Source organism: Homo sapiens, chromosome 16 (genome assembly GCF_000001405.40).
Source record: "Homo sapiens chromosome 16, GRCh38.p14 Primary Assembly".
In the NCBI taxonomy this organism is placed as follows: domain Eukaryota; kingdom Metazoa; phylum Chordata; class Mammalia; order Primates; family Hominidae; genus Homo; species Homo sapiens.
The window spans coordinates 48179658-48207469 of record NC_000016.10 but is presented as its reverse complement, the minus strand read 5'-3'; the positions used below and the strand labels follow the sequence as shown (position 1 = coordinate 48207469).

Sequence of the window (27812 nt, the reverse complement as noted above, 5' to 3'; positions counted from 1 at the left end):
GGTCTCGAACTCCTGGCCTCAAGTCATCCACCTGCCTCAGCTTTCCAAAGTGCTGGGATTATAGATGTGAGCCACCATGCCCGGCCATTTCTCCAGTTTCAAAAAAACCCCAAACCCATTCCCCAGATCCTTTGGGGTCACACTGCACACCTTATAACGAACACTAAAAGCACCCATGACGCCTGCTATGCATTTTTGGTCACATTCCCTCAAGCGTCTTACACCAGCCCTTCCCCAGGGAGCCCCAACCTCACCCCCTCCTGGGCTGCCATCTCTTCCCCCTTCTTCTTCTGTCCATTGTCCCTTGTTCCCCCAACACTGGGAGAAGTTTTCCTTCCTTTCTTCGGCTTTTCCCTCAGCTCCTTCTCCCAAATGAACATTGCCAAACTCATCCCCTCCTTGGAATGCGGTTATGTTACCAAAGCCAGCTCTCTCTTAACACATCAGCCACGTGCTGCATGTGGAATGGCCTTTCCCCGGTTTCTTTGCAACTGCAAAGAAGAAAGACTCCATTAAAAAAAATTGTAAAACTAGCTTCAGTACTTACATGCGAAGTCCTGTGCAAAGAGCTTTCCATTTTCCCCTTTAACTCTGGTAACCTCCCATGACAAAGGCATACTCACGATGACCCATTTACAGATGAGTACGTGAGGTTCTGAGAGGTGACTCATCCAAGGTCATACAGCAGGTAAGGGGTGAGCCAGGGCTGAGTCCCAGGTCCACCTGAGGTCAGAGCTCTGTTCTACATCACAGCAGCATTGCCTGGCAGCCTCCAGGCAAGACCACCTCCTACGTGCCCAGTGGTTTGTCAGTTTCCTATGTAAATGAGCCTGTCACTTTCCTTCTAATAAAGGAAGACAGAGATGCCATTTTAAAGTTTTGTTCTTATTCATTAAAGCTTGGCTCCAAACTAGAAGTAAACATTTTAGGGTATAAAAGAGAAAGGATTAAGAATGATGAGGTCCCAAGTCAGGGTGCTGGGGATGAGTGTCTATCTCTATTTGTTTTTAACGTGTTGTTTTGAACTTAGGCAGAAAAACAGGAAGAACACTACAGCAGGGATCCATATACCCACCATCTAGATGCAGCAGTTGATAGTTTTTGCATATTTACCTTACTATATAGACATATATTTTGTAGAATACTTTAAATTACAGAGGTTATAACACTTTCCATTCTAAATACTTCATCGTGATGTCCAAAAGTAAGAACATTTTTCTGCCTAACCATGATAACATTATCCTACCTAACAATAATAATTCCATAATACCCAGGCATGCTCAGAGATAGCCTGGAACTTTTGGTGTGCATGGTGAAGACCATGGAGGCACTGGCTGCCAGGGAATGGGGCTGGGACAAATAAGAGGAAAAAACGTTCACGCCTGTAATCCCAGCACTTTGGGAGGCCGAGGCGGACAGATCACGAGGTCAGGAGATCGAGACCATCCTGGCTAACACGGTGAAACCCTGTCTCTACTAAAAATACAAAAAATTAGCCGGGCGTGGTGGCAGGCGCCAGTAGTCCCAGCTACTCAGGAGGCTGAGGCAGGAGAATGGTGTGAACCCGGGAGGTGGAGCTTGCAGTGAGCCGAAATCGTGCCACTGCACTCCAGCCTGGGCGACAGAGCGAGACTCCGTCTCAAAAAAAAAAAAAAAAGAGGAAAAAACGTATGGAGTGTCTTTAGTGCAGACCTTGGATTCAGTCCAAGCAGGACCTGGCTGGGCTTATCTCCAGCTGCTTCCACATGTTCTCATGGCCGGTCCCTGGAACTCGCTGGTGGGCCTGGTAGGGCCACATTAAAAGTCCCTTTTACCTAGGAGAGCCCCCAAGGTCCTGGAGGGCAGTGGGGCCCTGGGCACTGTGCCTGCTGAGCCAGGCAGGCTCTGTCCCTTGGCCCAATTGGTCCTGAGGCTGGACTCATTCTGCCGCAGATGCACTTGCTCGAGGGCTCGGTGGGGGTGCAGGGAAGCCTGGCCTATGTCCCCCAGCAGGCCTGGATCGTCAGCGGGAACATCAGGGAGAACATCCTCATGGGAGGCGCATATGACAAGGCCCGGTAAGCTCCTGGGAGGGGAAAGGGAGAGTACAGGGCATGTGGCTGGTCTGGGGGCACCTCCAGCTTCAAACGGTAACCTGACAACTGCTAACACTTGTGTGCTCCACTTAAACGCATTATCATATTCACCCCTCACTGTGAAAGAAATACCATCATATCAATTTTCCAGATGAATCAGCTGAGGCCCCAAGAGGTTAAATAATTTGCCCGAAGTCACCCAGGTGGTGGGATGTGATAGAGCCAGGATTTGAACCCAGTTGCTTTCAGAAACTTCGTGCTTAACTATTACGCTATATTGGCTCAAAATAGTCAATACACTCTCCCCCTCCAATATTGCTACATTTGAACTTCATTTGTATTCGTTAAATCTTGGCCCCTAAGTGAAAAGGAAAACAAATGGGAGCGATGAGGTTCTGTGAAAAGGAAAACAAATGGGAGTGATGAGGTTCTGTGACATAGAGGAAACCAGTTTGAATCTATGGCCCCGTGGATCTCCCAAGTCTTGTCCATATCCCTCCTTTCCCTCTATGGCTTCTCCCTGCCCTAGAATTCTCGGGTTAACCTGCCCAAGACATGAGATTGAATGTCATGAGTGAAGCCTGTTCAGTGAAGGGTCCAGGAAAACTGCTCTGAATGCTACAGCTACGCTTCCAACTATGGTGGACTCTGACCTGTGACTGTTTGCTTGGTTTTGCAATCTGCCCCCGGGAACAACATAGATATGGAGGTGTAGGAACTGGCTGTCTCTGTCTAGTTGTCCTGTGGACACCTCACAATTATGTCCAATACCAACTCATGAGCACCCTGCCTGCCCAGCCCCATACCCCTGGCTTCTTTTCCCAAATTGTGCAACTCAGTTTAATGGCATCACCCAAACCTTGCACCCCGGGAAGCCAGATGTCTCCTCCTCTGATTTCTTCCACATCTAATTGGTAATTGGTCACCGATCGTGAATAAGCCTGTCTCCTACATATCTCTTGTATTTCTGTCTTCTCCATCTCTGTTTCTAGTTCGTTCAGCCTGTGATCTCTTGTTTGAACAGTTCCCACTGCCCCTGCCCTTGGGTCCCTGTCTCTAATCTCCTGCTCTGTTCCACCCCGCGTAAGATTGTCTCCAGGGCAATCATCCTAAGTCCCAGCTCTCATCTTGTCATTGCTCTTCTTTAGGGTCTTCTATGAGACTGATAGAACTCATACAGAAATTTTGCAATATCTGTTAAAATAAAAATGCACCAACCCTTTGACTCAGCAAATTCACTGTTAGGTATTTAATGTGTAGATATTTTCACCCATGGAAGCAAAGACCCATATACAAAGATGTTCACACTGCATTGCTCACAGGAGCAAAAGAGTAGAAAAAATTCCAGTGTCCATCACTAGGCCACTGGTTAAATAATTTATGGTGCAACCATATAATGGAATACTAAAATGCCATTAAAACAATAATAACCTATACATGCAGTACCATGCAGTACACATCCATATACGAATAGATTATTTCTGAATAAATACGTAAGACACTGTAATAGTGGCTGCTTTTTTTTGAGACGGAGTCTCACTTTGTCTCCCAGGCTGGAGTACAATGGCGTGATCTTGGCTTACTGCAACCTTTCCGCCTCCCTGGTTCAAGTGATTCTCCTGCCTCAGTCTCTCAAGTAGCTGGGACTACAGGCACGCACCAGCACGCCCAGTTAATTTTTGTATTTTTAGTAGAGACGGGGTTTTGTCATGTTAGCCAAGCTGGTCTCGAACTCCTGACCTCAGGTGATTTGCCCTCCTTGGCCTCCCAAAGTGCTGGGATTACAGGCATGAGCCACCGTGCCTGGCCAAGAGTGACTGCTTTTGAGAAAAGCAAATGAAGGTCAAAGATGGGAAGGAGAACTGCTTTTTATTGCATCTTTTTATTCTGGTCAAATATTTACTAAGAGTGTGTATTAATTTAAAAGAAATGAAAGAGGGAAGGAAATGAAAAAAGCCTTCAGTGTTATACCATTAAACACCATCAAGTCTAAATTTCTTAGCATGAAAATCAAGACCATTCCTCTCGACACTGGGAAGGGTGATGGGCGGGAGGGCTGGTCCCCTGTGCCTTATGGCTCCCTGTCCTTCACAGATACCTCCAGGTGCTCCACTGCTGCTCCCTGAATCGGGACCTGGAACTTCTGCCCTTTGGAGACATGACAGAGGTGAGAGGGAGGCGAGCCTGCCTTCTCTGTGTAATGTTGGTGCTCTTATGTTCATGCTGCCTCCCCAGGCAGGGAAGGGAGGAATCCCAGCTCTTCCTCCCAAAGCAGTTGGAGTTTTTCCTGCAGCTGCTGCAGGAGGAGCAAAGCTTCCCTCACTGAGGGAGGTTGGGGCTCAGCTTATAGAGGCACCTGGAAAGGAAAGTGGGTACCTTATCCCACAGAGGTGGAGAGCTGACCTCAAGCTCCTTCTTCTGAAGCAAGAGCGGAGACCCTGTCAAGATGAGAAACGCTGCATCGCCCTTGCCCCACTCCGGCTGGTGCAACATCAGCCATGACCCTCAGGGGAAATTTCTGACTGTAACATTTCCCCGATAATTCCAATCTTTTACATCTGCAGCCACCTTAATACACATACGACCCTCACCCGAGATAAAAGTGGCATTGCCTTCTTGATATTAATGGTCTAATAATATCTCAGTCTGTTGAACACTTACTACATGCAAGGTGCTATTCTAGTGACTTGAATGTAGTGTCTTAGGTGAGAGTCACGATAATCTCAATAACCTCAGGAGGGTAGTCTCTTAATTCTTCTTCTTCTTTTTTTTTTTTTTGAAGGGGAGTCTTGTTCTCTGTCTGTCACCCAGGCTGGAGTGCAGTGGTGCGATCTCGACTCACTGCAACCTCCACCTCCCAGATTCAAGAGATTCTCCTACCTCAGCCTCCTGAGTAGCTGGGATTACAGGCATGCACCTCCAGGCCCGGCTAATTTTTGCATTTTTAGTGGAGACAGGGTTTCGTCATGTTAGCCAAGCTAGTCTCAAACTCCTGGCCTCATGTGATCCACCCAGCTCGGCCTTCCAAAGTGCTGCGATTACAGGCATGAGCTACTGCGCTTGGCCTATTCTTCTTCTTTTAAAGCTGGGACTATAAATCCTTGATGGCAGAGAGCTCAATGATCTTATTCAAGGTTGTTTCTTCAATAGGAAGAACAAGGTCTCATCTGTAAAATGGCATAAATAAGAGTACTGACCTGATCGGATTGCTTTGAGGTTTAAATGAGTTAATACAAAGTGTTTTGACTAGTGCCCGGCCTAGAGTAAGTGTTAACTATTATTGTAAGAGCACAGTAGGCATTGAATAGTGTTTGATGAATAAGTAAATGAATGAATGGGGAAACTGGGCTTTGGCCAGATCAAGCAGGTTGTCCAAGGTCACACAGTGGTGACCTGGAAGCACGGCAGGGACAGGAGTTTTCTCTGCCACCATTTCAACTCTGATTCTTCTCTACAGAGACTTCAAGCAGTCAGGATAGAACAGGAACTAGGACTTACACTCCAGCTCCCACTTCCTCAGAGCCTCAAGGAGGGATGGGCCAGCTGGCAGCTGCCTGGAGTGCTAATCTGCAAAACATGCTCAGTAACTTGGGTTTCCACCCTCAACTCCTATCACAGCAGGTGCCGTGTGAGATGGTCCTTCCAGCGTCAGTAAAGCTCCTTGCAGCCATTGTAGCTCTGGTCTGTTGAGTGGGTGCACACAGTGCAAATAGTCTTTGACGACACCTGTAACCCAGGCCAATGGTCCCACAAGTTGACAGGTGCTGTCAATGGAGATTAAAAACCTGAATAAGGCCAGGTCCAGTGTAACCCCAGCACCTTGGGAGGCCAAGGTGGGAGAAATTGCTTGAGCCCAGGAGTTTGAGACCAGCCTAGGCAATATAGTGAGACCTCATCTCTACAAAAAAAAAAAAAAAAAAGAAAAAGAAAAAAAAAGGTTTAAAAACATTGGCTAAGTGTGATGGCACCGCCTGTAGTCCCAGCTACTCAGGAGGCTGAGATGGGAGAATCGCTTGAGACTGAGAGGCGGAGGTCGCAGTAAGCCATGATTGCTGGTGCCACTGCACTCCAGCCTGGGCAACAGAGGAGACCCTGTCTCAAAAAACCAAATAAATAAAACCAGAATAATATGTGAGACAGTGCTCTGACTTGGGAATAAGTGACTTATTTTATTATCTGAATTTTTAATAGTTTAATGTTTGCCTCCTAGAAGTTGATAGGTTTAGAAAAATTGTATCTAAGTAAGAGTTACAATTTTTTAAAAGTCATATATCTTTAAATTTAGATTCAGGGGATACATGGAGAGTTGTAAGATTTTTAATTAATTGAGAAGCAATTTATTCATCCCCTACTAACCACGTTTTGAAAAATATTTTTATTGATGCATAATATTTGTACATGTTTTTTGGGTACCTGTGCTATTTTGTTATATCTGTAGAATATGTAATGATCAGGTCAGGGCATTTAGGGTATTTATCATTTCTATTGTGCTGAGAACTTTTCAATCCTATCTACTAGCTCTGCTGAAATATACAATACATTGTTGTTAGCTATAGTCATCCTATTCTGCTATCAAACATTAGAACTTATTCTTTCTATCTAACTTGATGTTTGTATCCATCAGCCAACCTCTCTTCATTCTCACCTCCCTTCCCTACCCCCAAAAATCCTTTCCAGCCTCTGGTGTCCATCATTCTACTCTCTACCTCCACGAGATCAGCTTTTAAGCTCCCACATATGAGTGAGATATATATGTATTTTTAAGTCCAGAATGCCAAATTATCAGGTATCCTGGAGTGTGTGCATATCTTGGTCTGTACTGAGGGGGTTCTGTCTGCTACATCTGCCTACCCATTTGAGCACACCTGGCTGTGCTTGCTGTCTGGACATGGTGCCTTTTACTGCCTGTCTGCAGATTGGAGAGCGGGGCCTCAACCTCTCTGGGGGGCAGAAACAGAGGATCAGCCTGGCCCGCGCCGTCTATTCCGACCGTCAGATCTACCTGCTGGACGACCCCCTGTCTGCTGTGGACGCCCACGTGGGGAAGCACATTTTTGAGGAGTGCATTAAGAAGACACTCAGGGGGAAGACGGTCGTCCTGGTGACCCACCAGCTGCAGGTTAGCACCCTTCCAGGGCTCTGACTGTGATTGACGGATAACGTAGATCCTCAAGCCTTTGCCATTTCAGAGTGTGATTCAATAACAGCCTCCCAGCAGCTGTCCTCATCTCAGGTTAGACTCCTCCACATTTGGGGAGGGCTGTAAAAAACTTGGATTTCCTCTGCTTTCCACACAAAGCAAACAGACTGGTAGAAGATTTTTGTGCTGGTAAAAATTGAGAACAAATTTTATGGTCTCCTTTATCTTCAAAATTTTTTGAGTAGACCCCTGCTTTTCAACTTATAAAAAATGAAAACAGGCCGAGCACGGTGGCTCATGCCTATAATCCCAGCACTTTGGGAGGCCAAGGCAGGAGGACTGCTTGAGACCAGGAGTTCAAGACCAGCCTGGGCAACGTAGAGAGACCTCCCATCTCTACAAAAATTTAAAAAAATTAGCCAGGTGTTGTGGTGCATCTGTGGTCCCAGCTACTGGGGAGGCCAAGGTGGGAGGATGGAGCCCCGGAGGTCAAGGCTGCAGTGAGCTGTGAGTGCCACTGCACTCCAGCCTGGGCAACAGAACAAGACCCTGTCTCAAAAAAAAAAAAAAAAAAAAAAAAAATCAATAAAAAAGAAAAGAAAAGAAAAAGAAACCAATCTCTCAGAAAAGAATTCCCCAAGTCTCCCATTCTTAGATTGAGAGCCATCTCAGTGTGTTTTCTTACCGATGATGACCGCAGTGCAATGACTGCTTCTGGTGGTGCTTCTCCTGGGTCATTTTCCCTTGAATATTTTCATCTATGGCATTGGCCACAGTGCCTTATTATTTTCTCTCCCCCTTCTTCTTCTGTTTCTTTTTCTCTCGCCCCTTATTTTTGCTTTACTATTTTTTTTTGGTATAAAATATTTAAGACCTAAACAAGGTTTAGAAAATAATTAATAAAAACCCATGTATCTACCACCCAGATTAAACAATAAAACATTGATTCCACTCTCCAATTCTGTTCCAGTTCTCCCTTTCTGCTCTCCTGACTTTGTTGTTTATTGTTTCCATGCATGTCTTCATACTTCTACAGTGTATGCATGAATCTCTAGACATGAAGAAATTCCTTTTGCATATTTTTAAACTTTATAGAATTTATTTTTTACTTTCTGTGTCCTTTGGTAATTTCATTTTTTCCCTCAACATTATGTTTTTTGAGATCTTCCATGTTGATACTTGTAACTTTATATATATATAGATATATATATATATTTTTTTGAGACAGAGTCTGACTCTGTTGCCTAGGCTGGAGTGCAATGGTACAATCTCAGCTCACTGCAGCCTCCACTTCCCAGGTTCAAGCAATTCTGCCTCAGCCTCCCGAGTAGCTGGGACTACAGGCACACGCCACCACACCTGGCTGATTTTTGTATTTGTAGTACAGACGAGGTTTCACCGTGTTGGCCAGGCTGGTCTTGAACTCCTGACCTCGTGATCTGTCCACCTTGGCCTCCCAAAGTGCTGGAATTACAAGCATGAGCCACTGCACCCAGCCTTATAACTTTATTTAATTCTCCTTGGTATAGCATTCCAATATCTGAATGTACCAGAATTTATTTCTCCAAGATGAACAGTTGTTTCTTATTTTTCACTTCTACAAAAAAAAAAAAAAAATACTTCAGTGTATATCCTTCTACGTGTACCTTTGCACACATGTTTGAGAGTTTTTTTGGGTAGGGTTTTAGGAGTCGAATCGTTGGTTCATAATTCTTCAAAAATCTTCCATGTTACTGAATAGGTCAAATTGTTCTCCAAAGTAGTTGTACCAATCTACAATCCTCTTGATAGTTAAGGAGAGTTCCTTTTGCCTCAGATCATCACCAACACTTGGAGTTGTCCAACTTTTGAATGTTTGCTCATCTGTTGGTATGAAATAATATTTTATCATGGTTTAAATTTACATTTTCCTGGTGAATAGTAAAATCAAACATCTTTCCATGTGCTTACTGAAGCCTTTCTTTCTTTTGACTGTCCAGTACTTAGAATTTTGTGGCCAGATCATTTTGTTGGAAAATGGGAAAATCTGTGAAAATGGAACTCACAGTGAGTTAATGCAGAAAAAGGGGAAATATGCCCAACTTATCCAGAAGATGCACAAGGAAGCCACTTCGGTGAGTCCTGCCCCACTGCCCTCACTACCCACGGTGGACGCACGTGTACTCAGGGCCTGTGCTCTCTCCCCAGGACATGTTGCAGGACACAGCAAAGATAGCAGAGAAGCCAAAGGTAGAAAGTCAGGCTCTGGCCACCTCCCTGGAAGAGTCTCTCAACGGAAATGCTGGTAATGGTGTGGGAGATAGGACAAGAATGTCTGCATGCCTGCCTGGGTCCTCCAGAGGTCCCAGTGTTTCCTCCTTGACCCCAGACTGGGCCATGTCCCTCAGTGTCTTGAGACCCTAAGCATTTACATACACAGGTTCCAGAACCAAGTAGTTGAGGGCCATGGGGTGTAGACTGATGGGCAGGAGGCCTGAAGGATCCAGGAAGTGAGTGTTGTGGGGGGCACAGCTAAGGTTGTACATCAGAGGAAGGATAGGGGGTACCTTTGGCTCTGAGTGGCACAGATTTAAGACTTGACCAGGCATCTAGACATTCATTCATTACACACTGCAAGAGAGTAAATATTGAGAGCAAAGGTATTAGGGATCAGAAATGAATTGGGTTTAGCCCCTGATGTCTGGAAGCTCATGGCTTTGCTCTTGTCTGGGGCAGAGTAGCAGAAGGGAGCGACTTCCATTTTTCAAGTAAGACAGTTCTGGATTTGAATCCCAGCTCTGCTGCTTACAAAGCTGTGTGACCTTAGCCATCTAACTTAACCTCTCTGAATTCTCGGCAAAAGTGGAGATTAGATGAGGTCATATATAGGGAAGCCCCCTACACAGTACCTGTCACATTGTAGGCTCCTGTCTCCAACTGAGTCTTTTTTTTTTAGACAGAGTTTGGTCCGTTGCCCAGGCAGGAATACAGTGGCTTGATCTTGGCTCACTTCAACCTCTGCCTCCCAGGTTCAAGAGATTCTTGTACCTCAGCCTCCCAAGTAGCTAGGACTACAGGCACGCACCACCACACCGGCTAATTTTTGTATTTTTAGTAGAGACTGGGTTTCACCATGTTGCCTAGGCTGATCTCGAACTCCTGAGCTTAAGTGATCCACCCACCTCGGCCTCCCAAAGTGCTGGGATTATAGGCATGAGCCACTGTGCCCGGCCACCAACTGAGGCTTTTTGAAGAAAACCTACTCAAAAAATTTCCATCCTGGTGTAATTTCCCTCAGGATTAAAATTCCAGAAAAAGAGCACCGTTCCCCAGGAAATACTGGGGTGTCGTTATTAGAAGGGAGAATAGCAGGCAGCAGCAGCAGACAGTCACTGTCGTGATGTTTGTTGTTACAATTATCATCAGAAACATCTATGGGCATCTCCAGGTACCGGTCTTCAGGCCAAGCTCAAGGCCAAGAGTCCACCTGGGCTTGTGTCAGGGCTGTTTTGTGAAGCATTATCTCAGAAGTGTATGGCTGCAGGGCATCTTAGCAAACTTCTCGGCTTTCCGTTTTTTCGGACAAGGAAACAGAAGGGTTAAGTGATTTGCCTGATGTTGCACAGTGTCATAGTGACAGTTCTGAAACCTAGGTTTTCTGGTCCCAGGTGGTTTTCTTCATTCTTTCCTGCGTTTCTCTCAGCCCATCACACACGTGAGACCCCGCAGTCCCTCCAGAGTTTATTGAATGGCTAAGGATGGATCCCTTTCCAGGCTCTGGAGCCCAGGTCAAAGGTTTCTTTCAGTAGAGTCTTCCATGAAAAACCTTAGACATAGGTGGGGCACTGAAGCTGGAAAGTGAAAAGCTGGCACAGGATCGAAGCCAGAGACAGAAGGAAGCAGATCATGTGATTGGCAGGCATACCACTTTTCTCTTCTTCTACCCTGACCCAGTGCCGGAGCATCAGCTCACACAGGAGGAGGAGATGGAAGAAGGCTCCTTGAGTTGGAGGGTCTACCACCACTACATCCAGGCAGCTGGAGGTACGGTCCCCATGCCAGCCCAGGGCTCTCTCTTGGAGCAGCCCTATCCCTGGAACTGGGTCAGATTGGAACACGTGAGGTCATGTGAAGTAGAGAGGTCCAGAGGAGCCATGGTATTTATTGGCCTAACTTGCAAAACCAAACTCTACTCAGTTATAGCAACTCTACCACCAAAGCCAAGGTTGGAAGTTATATTTTCATGTATACTCATTATTTCAGTGTTTTTCTATTTTTTAATTAAAAAAAATTAAAAAAAATAGAATAGACATGGGGTCTTGCTATGTTGACCAGGCTGGTCTTGAGCTCCTGGCCTCAAGCAATCCTCCCATCTCAGCCTCCCAAAGTGCCCCTGCCTCATTATTTCAGTGTTTTTCAAACTCTGGGCTCTGCTCCCTTAGCAGGTTTTACAATCAGCTGAGTTTATCATGAGCAGCACTGAAAGACATGAAATAGAATCGGAGAGAAAATAGCGGCCACATCGCAAAAGGTCACAGTGGTGGGACTTTTATTTTGGTGTGATTTAAAATTTCTTAATTTTTATTTCTTAAGGCAGGCAGAGGGCAATTAGAAGTTCAAAGCTACTGCCTTATTAAATGGTATATATCATCATGTATATTTACTGTACAATGTTGTAAACACAAAACTCAGTATATGGTGCTGTACTTATCAAGTAATTTAAGAGATTTTTGAGAGTAATTTTTACTCCATGAAACTTTTTACTCATCGTTTACATTGGAAGCTGACCCTTGTGTAAGATGTCTCCTGTCTGCATGCCTGGGGGAGGAAGAGGTAGGCTGTGCACACAGAACGCCGTCCCCACCCCGTCCACCATGGGTATCCTGCAAGGAGTAACCCAGGGCCTGCCCAGACAGAGCAGGAAACAGCAAATGCTTGTGAAATGCATGAATGGATCTAGCAGCTTACATTGATCTGTATTTACAAAGTGCCTGCTATGTTCCAGGCACTGTGCCAAGCTCTAGAGGGGAGGGGTATAAAGTCATCTAAGAACCAACCCTGGAATCTAGCTGGAGAATTAAGACTTGCTTCCATCAGATGGTAAGAGAGATCTCTGTGGCCAGGGAATCTCAAATCTCATCAAAGAAGAGATAGCCCTTGAAGGAAGGATAGAATTTGGGAAAAGACTGTGGGCACGGGACATGTGAGCATGAATAGATGAGAGGAGTGCTAGAGCAGGAGGCAGTGCCCCAAGGAGTGTACCCTGCCTTTTCCTGCCCTTAACTGCTTCAAATCCCAGCTCTGCCACTCACCAACTCTGCAAGTTTGGGCAAGGGAGTTCCCCTCTCAGATTAAGTTTCCTCATTTTATTAGCCTATTTGTGCTGCTGTAACAACATATATTAGACTGGGTAGTTTATAAAGAACAGAAATTTATTTCTCACTGTTCTGGAGACTGGGAAGTCCAAGATCAAGGTGCTGGCAAGTTTTTTGTCTGGTGAGGGCCCAGTATCTACTTCCAAGATGGCGCCTTGAACGCTGTGTCCTCCATCCCTGGAGGGGATAAATGTTGTATCCTTACATGGTGAAAGGGACAAAAAACCAGGAAGGCAGCTCTCTGAAGCCTCTTTTTTAAGGGCATTAATGCCACTCATGAGGGCTCCATCCTCATGGTCGTCACCTCTTAGAGGCCTCACTTTCTAATACCATCACCTTGGGAATTTGGTTTCAACATATGAATTTTGGAGAGACACATACATTCACACAGTAGCACTATTGAAAATGGGGATAGGAATTACTAATTCAGAAATAATGCATACATTTGGTACTATTCCTGGCATGTAGCACATAATAGTACGTACCACATAAAAGGTAACTGTTATTATTATTTATAAAACTGAACCTGCAGGACCTGCATAAGGTGAACTAACTTCTCTAGAACACTGCCCTGTGCCAGGCACTGGGCTGAGTGCTTCACACACATTATATCATATCATCTTCAGCATGGCTCTGAAGCTGGTAAGGTTATCACTATTTCATAGGTAAAGAAGTGGTATGTTGCTGACATTTGGTACCTTATCCAAGGTCACACGGTTTGGAAGTGGTGGAGCCAGGATTTGAACCCAGGGCTCTCTGACTTTGGAACCCAGCTCTTCCCATTCCTCCAAGGTGTCCACATTGGGTGGGGCTCAAGGGTTTCCAAGCACTCAAAGACAGAGATGGCCGAGCAGCTGAGTCAGCAGTTGCCTCGCACCTGTTTGTGGCACTTGTACATCACCACTGTCTCCCTCCCAGGTTACATGGTCTCTTGCATAATTTTCTTCTTCGTGGTGCTGATCGTCTTCTTAACGATCTTCAGCTTCTGGTGGCTGAGCTACTGGTTGGAGCAGGGCTCGGGGGTGAGTGCCATGAGGTGGATGGGCTGTGTTTCTATGGGCTTGAGTGAGGTGGGGTGACTTCTTGCTCCTTGAGACCACAAGAGCCAGAGCATGGCTTGGGACCCACATGACAAGCCCAGAGCTGGTGTTCCAGAGAGAACCGTGGGGAGCCAGGACTCTGGGGTTCCCCTGGCACAGGCCTCCTGACTTTGTAGAATGGGTGGTCGCCTGTGCAGTCTTACTGGAAAACCAAGAGATTTATATCCCCAGACAGTGCCCCAAGAATCTTTGCATTCCACTGCAGTAACTGTCTCCTTTAGCTCCAGGCTGGCCTCCATACTATGGTTTATTTAAAATATACTTCTGGTCTTGTGAGCTGGGAGCCACCACGGGCCACACTGTGTCAAGTTATTTCACTAATCTCCCCACCCACATTCAGAGGAAGGTTCCACTGTCTCCATTTTTCCAAGGGGACCCTGTGCCTAGAGAGGATGAAGAACCTGCCCTAGGACAGGACAGGGCCGGAACTTGAACTTGGTGCTTAGAATCGAAGCCATGCTTTTCCCACAGTACTCCATATGGTTAATTTCTGGATCGTGTACCAGGAGGTTTGGGTCAGGAGAGCAGAAGCCACTCTAAGTATTTAGAGCTTCCAAGGATTTAATATAGGGAATTAGAGGCTCAGTCAACCATTGGAGGGGAATTGGCCATCAGGGATCTCAGCTGAACTGAAGTGGGTGATTCCCAGGATGCCTTCCAGCCTCTGGAAAAACCCCACACCCCATGCTCCTGCCCACAGTTGCCACTGAGCATGCTGGCTTCTCCTCTTCCACCTTTCTGTTTCCCTGTGGGTGCCTCTCCTTGGCAGAATCTGACCTGAAACCATGCTGGGAGGGGTTCTGGGAAATCACGTTCCCAAGCTTCTCGCTGCATCACAGCAGAGCGTGCACAAGGGCCCAGCTGCTGCAGTGTCCACGGGGCAGACTCTGAGGGCCTGATGCAGGGCAGGGCAGTGGGAATGAAGGGCAAAAGAGAGTAGCCAAGCGCTGAGCAGGGAGGTTTGGGCAAACAGCTTCACCTTCTACCAGCCACAGATTCTCACGTGGCCCCAGGGAGAAGGCTTTCCCTGCCACTGAATTTCCCCCGGACACCTGCAGTCAGACCCCCTGTTCTTTCTTGAAGACCAATAGCAGCCGAGAGAGCAATGGAACCATGGCAGACCTGGGCAACATTGCAGACAATCCTCAACTGTCCTTCTACCAGCTGGTGTACGGGCTCAACGCCCTGCTCCTCATCTGTGTGGGGGTCTGCTCCTCAGGGATTTTCACCAAGGTCACGAGGAAGGCATCCACGGCCCTGCACAACAAGCTCTTCAACAAGGTATGGGCCTGGGTGCTGGGTGGGGCCGAAGGCTGAGCTCTGAACTTGCCCAGCTTCATTTTTATTTTTTTATTTTTTTATTTTTTAGAGCTCTGTAGCCCAGGCTGGAGTGCAGTGGCACAATCTCCACTCATGGCAACCTCCACCTTCCAGGCTGAAGTGATCCTCCTGCCTCAGCCTCCCAAGTAGCTGGGAGTACAGGCACATGCCACTAGATCTGACTAATTTTTGTATTTTTTGTAGAGACTGGGTTTCACCACGTTGCCCAAGGTGGTCTCAAACTCCTGGGTTCCAGTGATCCATCCACCTCGGCCCCCCAAAGTGCTGGGATTACAGGCATGAGCCACCACCCCCGGCCTATTTTTTTTTTATTAGTAGACCTTAATTATTTATTTATCTGTAGAGATGGGGTCTTGCTCTGTTTGCCCAGGCTAGTCTCAAAATCCTGGGCTAATGCAATCCTCCCACATTGGCCTCCTAAGTAGCTAGAATTACAGGTGTGAGCCACCATGCCCGGCCAACTTTATTTTATTATTATTTTTTATTATATTTTAAGTTTTAGGGTACATGTGCACATGCAGGTTAGTTACATATGTATACATGTGCCATGTTGGTGTGCTGCACCCAGTAACTCGTCATTTAACATTAGGTATATCTCCTAATGCTATCCCTCCCCCGTCCCCCAACCCCACAACAGGCCCCAGTGTGTGATGTTCCCCTTCCTGTGTCCTTGTGTTCTCATTGTTCATTTCCCACCTATGAGTGAGAACATGTGGTGTTTGGTTTTTTGTCCTTGCAATAATTTTCTGAGAATGATGGTTTCCAGCTTCAGGATTATAAATCATGCTGCTGTAAAGATAAATGCACATGTATGCACACGTATGTTTATTGTGGCACTATTCACAATAGCAAAGACTTGAAACCAAGCCAACTTTATTTTTTGAGCACTTTTCGTTTACAGAAAAATTGAGATGAAAGTACAGAGAGTTCTCATATACCTGCCTATCACTCAGGCTGGAGTGCAGTGGTGTGATCACAGCTTACTGCAGTCTCGACCTCCTGGGCTGAAGCAGTCCTCCCTACCTTAACCTCCGAGTAGCTGGGACCACAGGGGCACACCACCATGCCTGGCTAATTTTTGTATTTTTGTGGAGACAGGTCTTGCCATGTTGCGCAGGCTGGTCTTGAACTCCTGGGCTCAAGCCATCTGCCCATCTCAGCCTCCTAAAGTGCTGGGATTACAGTTGTGAGTCACTGCACCTGGCCCATTTCTCTTATTCTTAACATCTTGCATTAACGTGGGACATTTGTTACAATTGATGAGTCAATATTGGTACATTATTAATTACTATTATTAATGAATATCCATAGTTCACCTTATGGTGCATTCTTTGTGCTGTGCATTCTATGGGTTTTGAAAAATGTATAATGACATGTATCCATGGTACAGAATAGTTCCGCCGCCATAAACAAAACCCTGTGTCCCACCTATTCATCCCTCCCTCCCTACCCTCAAACTCCCAGCAACCACTGATCTTTTTTACTCTCTTCATAGCTTTGCCTTTTCTAAAATGTAGTTGCAGCTGGGTGAACCAGGCTGCTTGGTGAGAAGGGAGTGATGAAAGTGCGGTGGAGCTCTCCTGCTGGAAGTCTGGTTCTAAGAGCTCAGTGTCCCCTGATGGAGGGCCACAGTGACGCTGGCCTCCACTGGCTGAGCATGGTCATATACAGAGTTGCTTATGATTGCCCTGAGTTCTCTTTGAAGTGGATATTATCCTCATTTTACATATGAGGAAACTGAAATCTCACATATGTTAAAGTTGGAATATGTGTTTGGTTAGAATACTGAATTGTCAGCTGGGTGCAGTAGCTCACGCCTGGAATCCCAGCATTTTGGGAGGCCTGAGGTGAGTGGATTGCTTGAGCTCAGGAGTTCGAGACCAGCCTGGGCAACAAGGCAAAATCTTGTCTCTACCAAAGATATAAAAATTAGCCGGACATGGGGGCTTGTGCCTGTAGTCCCAGCTACTTGGGGGACTGAGGATCAAGGAGGATCGCTTGAGCCAGGGAGGTGGAGGTGGCAGTGAGCTGAGATCATGCCACTGCACTCCAGCCTGGGAGACAGTGAGACCCTATCTCATTTAAAAAAAAAAAAACCAAATTGCTTATGGTATCACACTGCTTCTTGGAAATGTCATTCCTCTCTCTCACTTACTAAGTGTTACTATGTGCCAGGTTCTGCAGTGGGCATGAGGCTTACATTAGAGAATGCACAGTGCAGGTAGGGTTTGGGCCATCATGGATGTATAGTCTAATGGGGGAGATGGACAAGAAAACAGGCCATTGTCGTAGATATGTAAAGTTTATCACGGGATGGAGCACACAGGGCCATGAGAACATAAGAGGCACCTTGTCTTAGCTTGAGGGCAGGGGAAGAAAGTGGGGAGAGTCCAGAAAGCCTTCTTGGGGACTTCACTCCTTGAAGGAGGAATCAGATTTAGCCAGCTCAAGACCAGGAGACTGAAGGTGAACAAAAGCAGAGCACTTCTGGGAGGAGAATGGAGCTCTGGAAGGCTAATCTCAGAGGTGGGAGTGGGGGTTTTGACTTGGAGACGCAGGAGGTGAGGAGCGGCCCATCGTTCCTTGTAGACTGAATGCAAATTGTGTTGCCATGAAGTGTTTCAACTTTGGCAGGGTGAGACAAAGCTTTTCCCCACCTCTCAGATAAAGCTTGGCAGAACCAGAAAGCAGGAGGGGGAAATTCTACCTGAGGCCTGACACTTTCCCACCCGGCCTCTGGGGGTGGCCCTCGGCCCTCAAGGTGGTCTCTGAGTTTCTTTTGATGGCACATTCCAAGATTCTAGAAATATCCAGTGCCCATGCCTCTAAATGACATTTCGTATTTTAATTTTGAGAAATGTTCAAGTTTCTTTCCATGAAAACGTGTTTTGTGTTTAAAATATTTTCCTTTTTCCAGTCCTTTCATGGCTTTTTAAACTTTAAATTTGTCTTTGTAGTTTTAAAGAATCACAAGTAAAGGATAAATCTTAAAAAGTTCGCTCAACTGCAAGCACAACAGAAAAAAATGAAGCAAAAATGAACAAACAAGAACAACCCCAGATCATTTTGATACTTAGAAGACAATCAGAAACTGAAACCATTTTCCCTTTGTCGCCACCATTGGTCCCTAATCCAAAGTAATGCTGGGCTTCCACAGATGCATCTTCCTCACCCACAGTGGAGCTGACGTCCACTCCTGTGTCCCCTCCACAACCCTGCCATGCCCCGCACCTGCAAGGTGTGCTCAGAGTCCTTGAAGGGGTGACCCTTTTGCCCTTTGATTCCTCTGAGTGATCATGACAATTCTGATTGCTTTAGCTCAAGTATTTAATAAAACATTCTGGAAATAAAATTGAAGGGATTTTAGAGGCAGAAAAAGCAAGGAGGCTTTAAATCTGCTCCTCCAACCCTCACTACCCCACCAGCTAGAAAGCAAACATACATGAGAGCTACGCTTGGTCAGCAGTATCCATGCATTTGCGATGAGAGCAGCTACAGAGAACACTTCATGGCTCAAATAATTACATTTAGTAACCGTCAAAATGTCCTTCCCTCCTCTTTCTTTGAGTTTGGCTTTAATAAATGCCATTGGCTTCTATTCATTTCTACTTCTTGCATTATAGCTTGAGAAGTACATGGGGAAATGTAGGTGGTCATTTGGTCAGTGCCATGAACCTTTAAGAAATTGCCTTCTGTGAAGAGTGACTGTGCCAGGCTTGGGGAAGCCTCAGAAGGCCTAATTGGATCATGGTTTTGCCATTAACCACTTGCGTAATGAGTAAGTTACAGAGCCACTTCCTCTTCTGCAATCTTCAGTTTCCTCATCTGCAAAACAAGGACACCAAACTAAATGCTTTTGTTAGAGCCTACCTTGTGGTTTGACATGTCCTTTGATCTCCGAAAGGCCTCATGGCCACTGGCTGTTAGAGATCAACTTGCAGGTGCCACCCTCAAGAAGGGGGCAGTTAAGGCTAAATTTGATCCAAGGGTCCAAATCGTGTGCAACCCAGTAGGATTGCTGCTCCTAATCTTTGGCAGTCCTGAGTGAAAATGGTCCCATCTGTAGAAAATAATAAGAGCTGGTATTGGTAGAATGCCCTACTGGGGGTGATGGAGGGCAGGTAAACCCCAGACTGGGGCTTAGTCCATGAGGGTTCTTGGCTTTGCCCAGGAAAGAATTCAAGGGCAAGCCAGTGGTAGGGTAGAAGAAAACAGCTTTACTGAAGTGTCACTGTTGCAGTTCTGGCAGTGTTGCAGCTCTGTGACTGACCCTGCAGAGCAGGGCTACCCCGTAGGCAGTGTGCTGAGAGCTGCAGCTCAGGGCAGGTTTGCAGTCATATTTATACCTACTTTTAATTACATGTAGATTAAGGGACAGTTTATACAGAAGTTTCTAGGAAAAGGGTGGCAACTTCCAAGTCATCAAGTCATTGATGACCCAGAAAGAGGCGGTAACTCCTGGGTGTTGCCATGGGAATGGTAAACTGACACGACACACTGGTGGGCCTGTCTTATGGAAAGTGGCTTCCACCCCACCCCTGTTTTAGCTAGTCCTCAATTTGGTCTGGCGTTCAAACCCTGCCTCCAGAGTCAAGTCTCACCTCCTACCTCAGGGGCAGGCACTGCTCTGAGCATTTTTAATGTATTCTCTCTCTCTCTAATAGCTTTACAGGATATAATTCATATACCATACATTCAGCCTTTTAATTATACACTTCAGTGTTTAGTATATTTGAGGAGTTGTGTGATCCTCACTACAACTCTGTGAAGCATCGTTTTCATTCCCATTTCGCTAACGAGGACCTTGAGACTCAGAGGAACTCAGTACTTGCCCGAGGTCAGACAGCAGTAGGTGGAGGAGTCAGGTAGCCGTGGAGCCCATCCATGCTTTTAAATCATTGCTCTACATTGCCTGCCCTGGAGACCCCTGGGATCCGTGGCTCTTTAGAGTCAAGGGTAACAGGCATCTTCATCCAATCTTGAGCAGGGCCTGCAGCTTCTCTCATGGTCTGCGTTGATTTTGTCCCTGCAGGTTTTCCGCTGCCCCATGAGTTTCTTTGACACCATCCCAATAGGCCGGCTTTTGAACTGCTTCGCAGGGGACTTGGAACAGCTGGACCAGCTCTTGCCCATCTTTTCAGAGCAGTTCCTGGTCCTGTCCTTAATGGTGATCGCCGTCCTGTTGATTGTCAGTGTGCTGTCTCCATATATCCTGTTAATGGGAGCCATAATCATGGTTATTTGCTTCATTTATTATATGTGAGTAGGTTCTTTTTGCTTGTGACTTGGGGAGCAAGGCTGGGACCAACCCAGACTAGATGGTCCCAGAGGTGGACGGTCCAGGTCCCTTACCTCCACTGTCCATGCAGGATGTTCAAGAAGGCCATCGGTGTGTTCAAGAGACTGGAGAACTATAGCCGGTCTCCTTTATTCTCCCACATCCTCAATTCTCTGCAAGGCCTGAGCTCCATCCATGTCTATGGAAAAACTGAAGACTTCATCAGCCAGTGAGTCCTTCTGCTGCCATTTGAGAATGATGGAACCACAGGGGTGGTGGGGAGCAGGGAAAGAATGGAGCGTCTGGGAGTGGCATCATCTTCAAAAGCATCAGAGAGCACATTGTTCGATGGACGTATTTCTCTGAGCCTCCAGAACCTGCTGAACCATTCTTTCATTTATAAGAATGAAAAATGTAAATGATAGGAAAAATGTTTGTAAACTTTAAAGACCTTGTATATATTGTGTATATATATATGGACATATGTATACATACATTTAATGATAAGGTGCATTACTGTGCAAACACATCTTGCATTATGTTATTTCTTTCACTTCCAAACAAATATCTATCTTTAACAAAATAATGAGGAACAATAGCTTTCTAAATAATAGAACTTCCTTCACTACTCATGCCATAGATTTGCCCCCTAAATGTTGAAACAAACAAGCAAACAAGTCCTGTGATTGTTGTTGAGGTTTAATGGTGTAACACGAACTTATCTGTTTGTAGAGAATAATCAAGCACGGTCTTCACCTACAAGAAGTTCATAGTCTGGTGGAAAAAGGGAGAAACAGGCACATGTTTTTGTAATTATACGTGATTGAAGAAGGTAGATAGCATAAGAGAGGGGCAGATAAACTGCTTGGGAATTCAGAGGGGAAGGAGGTGGCCTGGGGGAATCAGATAAGGCTTTCGGGAGGAGGTGGCATCTGAGCTGGCCTTGAAGCCTGGGTAAGACTTGGGCACACATTTGGGAGACGGTATGTGCTCAGTTAGCTGGAATATTGGATTAATTGTGGCACCTGCTCTCTCAGTGGCATTATAGACCACTCAAGGTCTGTGCAGACTCTAGGACTGAGGGGATCCTGGAGCGGTGCATTCATTCAGCCCACACTGAGAACCCTGCCCCAAGGTATATACTAAGATAAGCAGATGAAGAGAGTCTGGAGGGATTGGAGCTGTTGTTGGGGAAGGTGTCAGAGAAAAGGACCCTGAGATGAAGTGTGGGTTGAGCTATGGAAATATGTGGGTAGGAGCTCTCCAGGCAGAGGGGACAGTAAATGCAAAGACCATGAGATGGGGGAAGTAGGTTTGAAGGATAGCAAGGTGGCTTGAGCACAGGGGCCACAGAGTGACCAGGGTCTGTTGTGTTTAATCTGGGAAGGCCTCAAGGTGGAGGTGACTCAATCAGTATAGAAAGGTAAGGTGGACAGAATTTGGAATGTCTTATGCAAAGGTTCAGAGGGTATGGACAGAGTGAGTCAGAAGGGCCACTCTGCTGGGGTGATAGCCCACTCAGATGGTAAGATGGTTTTAGTTGATGAGTAAATGAATATTTAATTTCAATAATCAAAGGTTTATTTGAATGTACTTTAGAAAAAATGCAACTAACATATCAAACCCATTATTTATATAATTTAAGGTTGTGATTAAAGTTTCTTTTAATATACATTCTCAAACAAAGCAAGTAAAATAATAATACTAATCAAATAACAGTACAGGTTGTGATTGACATGGAAAACTGTGATGGTGGTATGTGAAAATTGGAAATTGGTAGGTTTCTTGGTTGGAAGTGACAGAAAAAACTAATGCAAACTAGCTTAAAAATATGACTTAAATATGGCAAAATACTAACAATTGCTAAATTAGGTAGAGGGTATACAGATGTTCACGGAATAAACTTTTTAATTTCTTGGTACTTTAAAAAATTTTCATTAGAGGGTATACAGATGTTCATTAAATCAAGCTTTTAATCTCTTGGTACTTATAAAAATTTTCATAGCAAAAGGCTGGGGAGGAGGACTTGCTTAAAGTGAGGCTTAATCCAGAGACTCAGCTAATGTTCCCCGGGTGTCTCGGTTTTACTGCTCTGCCTTCCATGGTGTTATTTTACCTTTAAGCTCCCAGAGACCCTCTGGTGGCTCCAGGCTCCCCTCCTAGTAGCAGAATGGTAGTTTCAGATATCCCATCATCCCACTGAAAGGAATCACTCCCACACTCACTCACACGTCCTGGCATTTATTCACTCTCTGTGGCCAATTTGGGGTAACTCACCCATCCCTGAGTGAGTCACAGAGGTTAGGCGAGGAGCGCGTGCTAAGGATGGGCCTTAGCAGCAGAGCCTACTCCTCAATCTGGGTTAGGAGTCAGGTCAACTTCACCCAAATTCATGGCTGAGAAAGGGGTAGGGAGGAACTCCCCAAAGAAAAATCAGGCCCTGCTGCTGGGAGTGGGGAACTGGATGCTGGAGGAAGCAGCCGGTATCTACCCTGACCCGGGGAGACCCTAGGTCAGACAAACACATGGTTCTTAGTCTGTGCTTTCCTTCTCAGGTTTAAGAGGCTGACTGATGCGCAGAATAACTACCTGCTGTTGTTTCTATCTTCCACACGATGGATGGCATTGAGGCTGGAGATCATGACCAACCTTGTGACCTTGGCTGTTGCCCTGTTCGTGGCTTTTGGCATTTCCTCCACCCCCTACTCCTTTAAAGTCATGGCTGTCAACATCGTGCTGCAGGTGAGGGGGTGACTCTGTGTGGGCCCTCTCTGAGCTTTGCTCATCCTCTGCCTGTGGCTTCTGGGCAGACTCAGGGGGTCCTCAGGTGTTCAATGACACCTTAGGCTCTGGCCACGTGTGATCTTAGGAGCTATGTGCTTGGCCTTCTGAAATTGGTACTTTGCTCTGTTTCCTTGTGGTCAGCTCTGAATTGGGAAGTCTGTATTCAAAGGTATTTAATAGGATCACAGGACACTGGGAGTGAAGGGGAGCCCACAGATGACAGAGTCCAGTGTGCATATTATGCAGATGGGGAAACTGAGGCCCAGACAAGGGAAGGAGTTGTCCAAACAGATGCATGTTAGCAGAGCTGGAACGAGAACACTGATCTCTTGGCTTCCTGGCTGCTGTCTTTGTACCTAACCGTTCCTATCCTGATTGAGCTGTCAAACCTTTCTGAATCACCTGGAAAGGTTGTTTAAAAGGTGGGTTTCACAGCCCAGCCCCTAGAACAGGGCTTCTCAAACTTAAATGTGCCTAAGACTTGAAACAGACTTCTGGACCTTAGCCGGGGGGTTTGACTCACTCTGGGCATGGGTGGGGCTGCCAGGAGGACCATAGTCAAGGGCCACAGCCATAGAGATTCTGAGTCTGGTCCTGAGCTGGGGTCTTGGAATCTAATTTGTTTTTTATTTTTTGAGATAGGATCTCACTCTGTCATCCAGGATGGAGCACAGTGGCACGATCTTGGCTCACTGCAATCTCCACCTCCTGGGTTCACTTGATTCTCCTGCCTCAGCCTCCTGAGTAGCTGGGATTACAGGCACATGCCACCATTCCCGGCTCATTTTTGTATTTTTGGTTAGACACGGGGTTTTGCCATGTTGGCCAGGCTGGTCTTGAGCTCCTGGCTTCAAGTGATCCACTGGCCTCGGTCTCCCAAAGTGCTGGCACTCAGGTGTTAACCACCGTGTCCAGCCTGGAATCTAATTTTTAAAACGGGTTCTGTAGGAGATTCTGATATAGTGAGCTGTGTACCTCAAGGCCGGAATCCCTCTGTGCCCAGCACACTGGGGGCTGGGAGATGGGGAGAGATGTGGAGAGAGAGCGACTGGCCAAGGTTCACTGTCCACAGAGTCCCACAGAAGGGGCATCCGTGAAGGCCCCAAGGCCTGAGGCCGGCTTGGCAGTGCCTAAGGGAACCTGGGCTGTACCAGTCCAGGGCTCCTTCCCCCAGGGCTTATTCATTAATTGTCCCCTCTGTGGTTATGTGGCTTTCTCTCTAATTGGCTTGGGATCTTGCGTATGTCCCCTGAGAGAATGTGAGCCTGTGCACACACCTGTCTTTTATTGGCTATGGGAACATGGCCAAGTTACTTAAATGCTCTAAGCCCTAAGTTTTCTATTTGTAAGACAGGAACAATAATAGCTAATATTCATTGAGCATTTATTCCAGGCCAGGCACTACTCTAGGTTTTTACAAGCATTAAGTCTCACATTTACACATAATCCTCACAAGTCTATGATTTTGAAACTTTTATTATCTCCCTTTTACAGATGAGGAATCCCAGGCACAGAGAGGTTAACCAATTTATCCAAAGCCACACAGCTAATAATGGGCAGAGCCTCTTTAAACCTGGATATCCCGAACCACATGTTCCTTTTTTTTTTTTTTTTTGAGATGGAGTCTTGCTCTGTTGCCCAGGCTGGAGTGCAGTGATGCGATCTCGGCTCACTGCAAGCTCCACCCCCTGGGTTCATGCCATTCTCCTGCCTCAGCCTCCCAAGTAACTGGGACTACAGGGGCCCGCCACCATGCCCAGCTAATTTTTTTGTATTTTTTTTAGTAGAGATGGGATTTCACTGTGTTAGCCAGGATGGTCTCGATCTCCTGACCTCGTGATCCACCCACTTTGGCCTCTCAAAGTGCTGGGATTACAGGTGTGAGCCACCGCGCCCCGCCCCAAACTACATGTTCTTAACCACTTTGCTCATCTCATGCAGTGTGGTGAGCACTGAATGCCTGGAAGAGAGCACGGCCAGTGCCTGGCATTGCACCAGCTCAGTGGAAGCTCCCAGTCAGCCCAGCTGTTATTGCACTCCCAGGCGTCTGAGGGTGAGGACCACATAGCTCTCTGAATGTCCATGTGTCTGCAGAAGGCTCTGCACACACAGGCATGTGCGTGTATGTCCAAGAATGCATGTATGTGTAGGAGTGCATGTATGTGCAGGAGCACATGTATGTACTGGAGTGCATGTGTGTGCTGGAGTGCATGTATGTGCTGGAGTGCATGTATGTCCATGAGCACATGTATCAGTCCTCCATGCTGAGCTGTTATTTTGGGCATGCAAAGGGGCTCCATCTCACTCCTCGTTGAGCCCCCTGAAGCAAGCACGTACATGCACTGGGAGTGCAATAACAGCTGGGCTGACTGGGAGCTTCCACTGAGCTGGTGCAATGCCAGGCACTGGCCGTGCTCTCTTCCAGGCATTCAGTGCTCACCACACTGCATGAGATGAGCAAAGTGGTTAAGAACATGTGGTTTGGGGTGGGGCACGTTGGCTCACGCCTGTAATCCCAGCACTTTGAGAGTCCAAGGTGGGTGGATCACGAGGTCAGGAGATCGAGACTATCCTGGCTAACATGGTGAAATCCCACCTCTACTAAAAAAATACAAAAAAATTAGCCTGGCGTGGTGGCAGGTGCCTATAGTCCCAGCTACTCAGGAGGCTGAGGCAGGAGAATGGCGTGAACTTGGGAGGCAGAACTTGCAGTGAGGCAAGATCGCACCACTGCACTCCAGCCTGGGTGACAGAGCGAGACTCCATCTCAGAAAAAAAAAAAAAAAGAACATGTGGTTTGGAATACCCAGGTTCAAAGAGGCTCTGCCCATTATTAGCTGTGTGGCTTTGGGTAAATTGGTTAACCTCTGGGATTCCTCATCTGTAAAAGGGAGATAAAAGTTTCAAAATCATAGACTTGTGAGGATTATGTGTAAATGTGAGACTTAATGTTTGTAAAAACCTAGAGTAGAGCCTGGCCTGGAATAAATGCTCAATGAATATTAGCTATTATTGTTCCTGTCTTACAAATAGAAAACTTAGGGCTTAGAGCGTTTAAGTAACTTGGCTATGTTCCCATAGCCAATAAGAGACAGGTGTGTGCACAGGCTCACATTCTCTCTCTCTCTCTGATACACATACACATGCACCATTACAGAGTGCCCCCCAAACCTCCGGCACTCTCAGGGAGAGGCACCACACCAGTGTCTTAGGGGATTCGGAATCACTAAGGCCCAGAAATCCCTCCCGCTGCTGCTTCAGGACATAGATCAGGAGGGCAACGCTCAGGGCGAAGGTTGCCCAGTGCTGGTGCTGCCCTAAGCGCAGCCCTTGTAGGGAGCGAGGCAGAGGCTCATCTCTCCCAGGGTGCACTGTTCACAGCAGGCGGTTGCTCAAAGGTTGTTGCACCACAGGAGACTCTAATGGGAAACCCTGCCTGGGGGACTGACTGCTTCAAAATGGCCCTTGAGGGTCTTTTCTTCTTTTCAAGGTCTGCTGTACTATTTAAGCATCTTATCTTCATCCTGGTAATAACGTCTCAGTTCCCAGTCCTTCAGTACTTTCCAAGTCACCTTCCACACTCTCACCAGAGTAATGTTTAATTATAGTTTTCATCATGTCACTGCCCCGTTCAGAAGCCTTCAAAAACTCTGTCTCCTGTCTACCAAACCTCAGCTATGGGGTCCTGACCTCAATGTGCTCCCTCTGCTCCAGTCAAGCCAGAACCTCACTGACTTCTGCATGCGCTTTTGAGAAAATTACATTCGAGCATTGGGAGGCAGGAATCACACATCACATTGCTTTGCAGCCCCAAGAGGCTTCTCAGTAAATGCCAGAGATGCATCTGGCTGCGAGGCAAAGAACCAACTCAAAATGGCCTCGACCATCTGGGAACTTATTCTCTCATGTAACCAGAAGGCTGGGGTAGGCCTATGCTCAGTTGGCTCATTTAGTGGCCTAGCATGAACCCTTGATCGTTCTACCTTTCTGTGCTGGCATCCACAGCCTGGCTTTGTCTGCAAGTCTGTCTGTATTCATGGTCACAAAATGGCTGCTGCAGCCCCAAGTGTCACATCCTCCCACAATAACAGTCAAAGGCTGGAGAGGAGATAACTTTTTCCATGTGTTCCTTTTTAAAAGCAAAGAGAAGTTTTCAAGAATACACCCATCTGATGCCTTCTCATCCTTCAACGGCCAGAATGGCATCATGAGCCCACACCTAAACCAAGCTCTGGCAAGAGGAGTAGAATTAATGTGGTTGGTTTGGATTAACCAAGCTTCCCTGAAGCATAAGACCACCAGACACCTGAACATGATGCTGGCAAGGCAGCCCGCAGGGTGTGATACACTGAGGGATGGGAGGAAAAGTGGTCTTCCAACCCGCCCCTGGCCTCTTTTTCAGACTAAGCACCATTTCATCATGGTGCCCACCTTCTCTGACTTACAGAGGGCTTCCCCTCCTTCCTACACCCTTTTGTTTCAGCCATAGCCAAATGGCTTGTGGGTGCCTGGATGTATTCTGAGAATTTGCTGCTTTCAGGGCTTACATAGGCTGTTCTGTTTGGAACACACTTCTCCACCCATCTTTAGTCCACTGCATCTTACTTCACCTTAAAAATGTCACTCTAGGACTGACTCTTCTTGGAATCCTTCCCTGTGCCCTCATCCAGGGCCCCTCCTGTGCATCCCAGTGGCACTCCAGGGCTTCTCCATTGTGGAGTGCGCCCCTCTGCACTTTAT

At 46.6% G+C, this 27812-nt stretch overlaps 1 protein-coding gene across 15 annotated transcripts in view, besides 1 other annotated feature; it reads left to right on the top strand.

Moving 5' to 3' along the window:
- ABCC11 (ATP binding cassette subfamily C member 11) overlaps nt 1-27812 on the top strand; it is an 82721-nt gene that overhangs the window by 40070 nt on the left and 14839 nt on the right. For 12 of the 15 annotated variants that reach the window (XR_007064925.1, XM_017023798.3, XM_017023797.3 and 9 more), the window contains 11 exons: nt 1933-2057; nt 4170-4242; nt 6991-7194; nt 9195-9329; nt 9403-9499; nt 11149-11238; nt 13488-13591; nt 14753-14950; nt 20043-20269; nt 20380-20517; nt 22844-23030. Coding sequence is in view for 14 of the 15 variants with exons in the window: in XM_017023798.3 (XP_016879287.1) it covers nt 1933-2057; nt 4170-4242; nt 6991-7194; nt 9195-9329; nt 9403-9499; nt 11149-11238; nt 13488-13591; nt 14753-14950; nt 20043-20269; nt 20380-20517; nt 22844-23030 (1578 nt within the window). In the remaining variant the exon portion in view is untranslated. The other 3 variants (NM_001370496.1, XM_011523398.4, XM_047434818.1) reach the window with 3 other exon arrangements.
- Nucleotides 18738-19032: a silencer, noted in NCBI's record as "tiled region #3115; HepG2 Repressive DNase matched - State 8:EnhW". NCBI's record gives its function as "represses a minimal TATA promoter and a strong SV40 promoter by Sharpr-MPRA in HepG2 cells {active_cell/tissue: HepG2}" and the evidence as "EXISTENCE:reporter gene assay evidence [ECO:0000049][PMID:27701403]".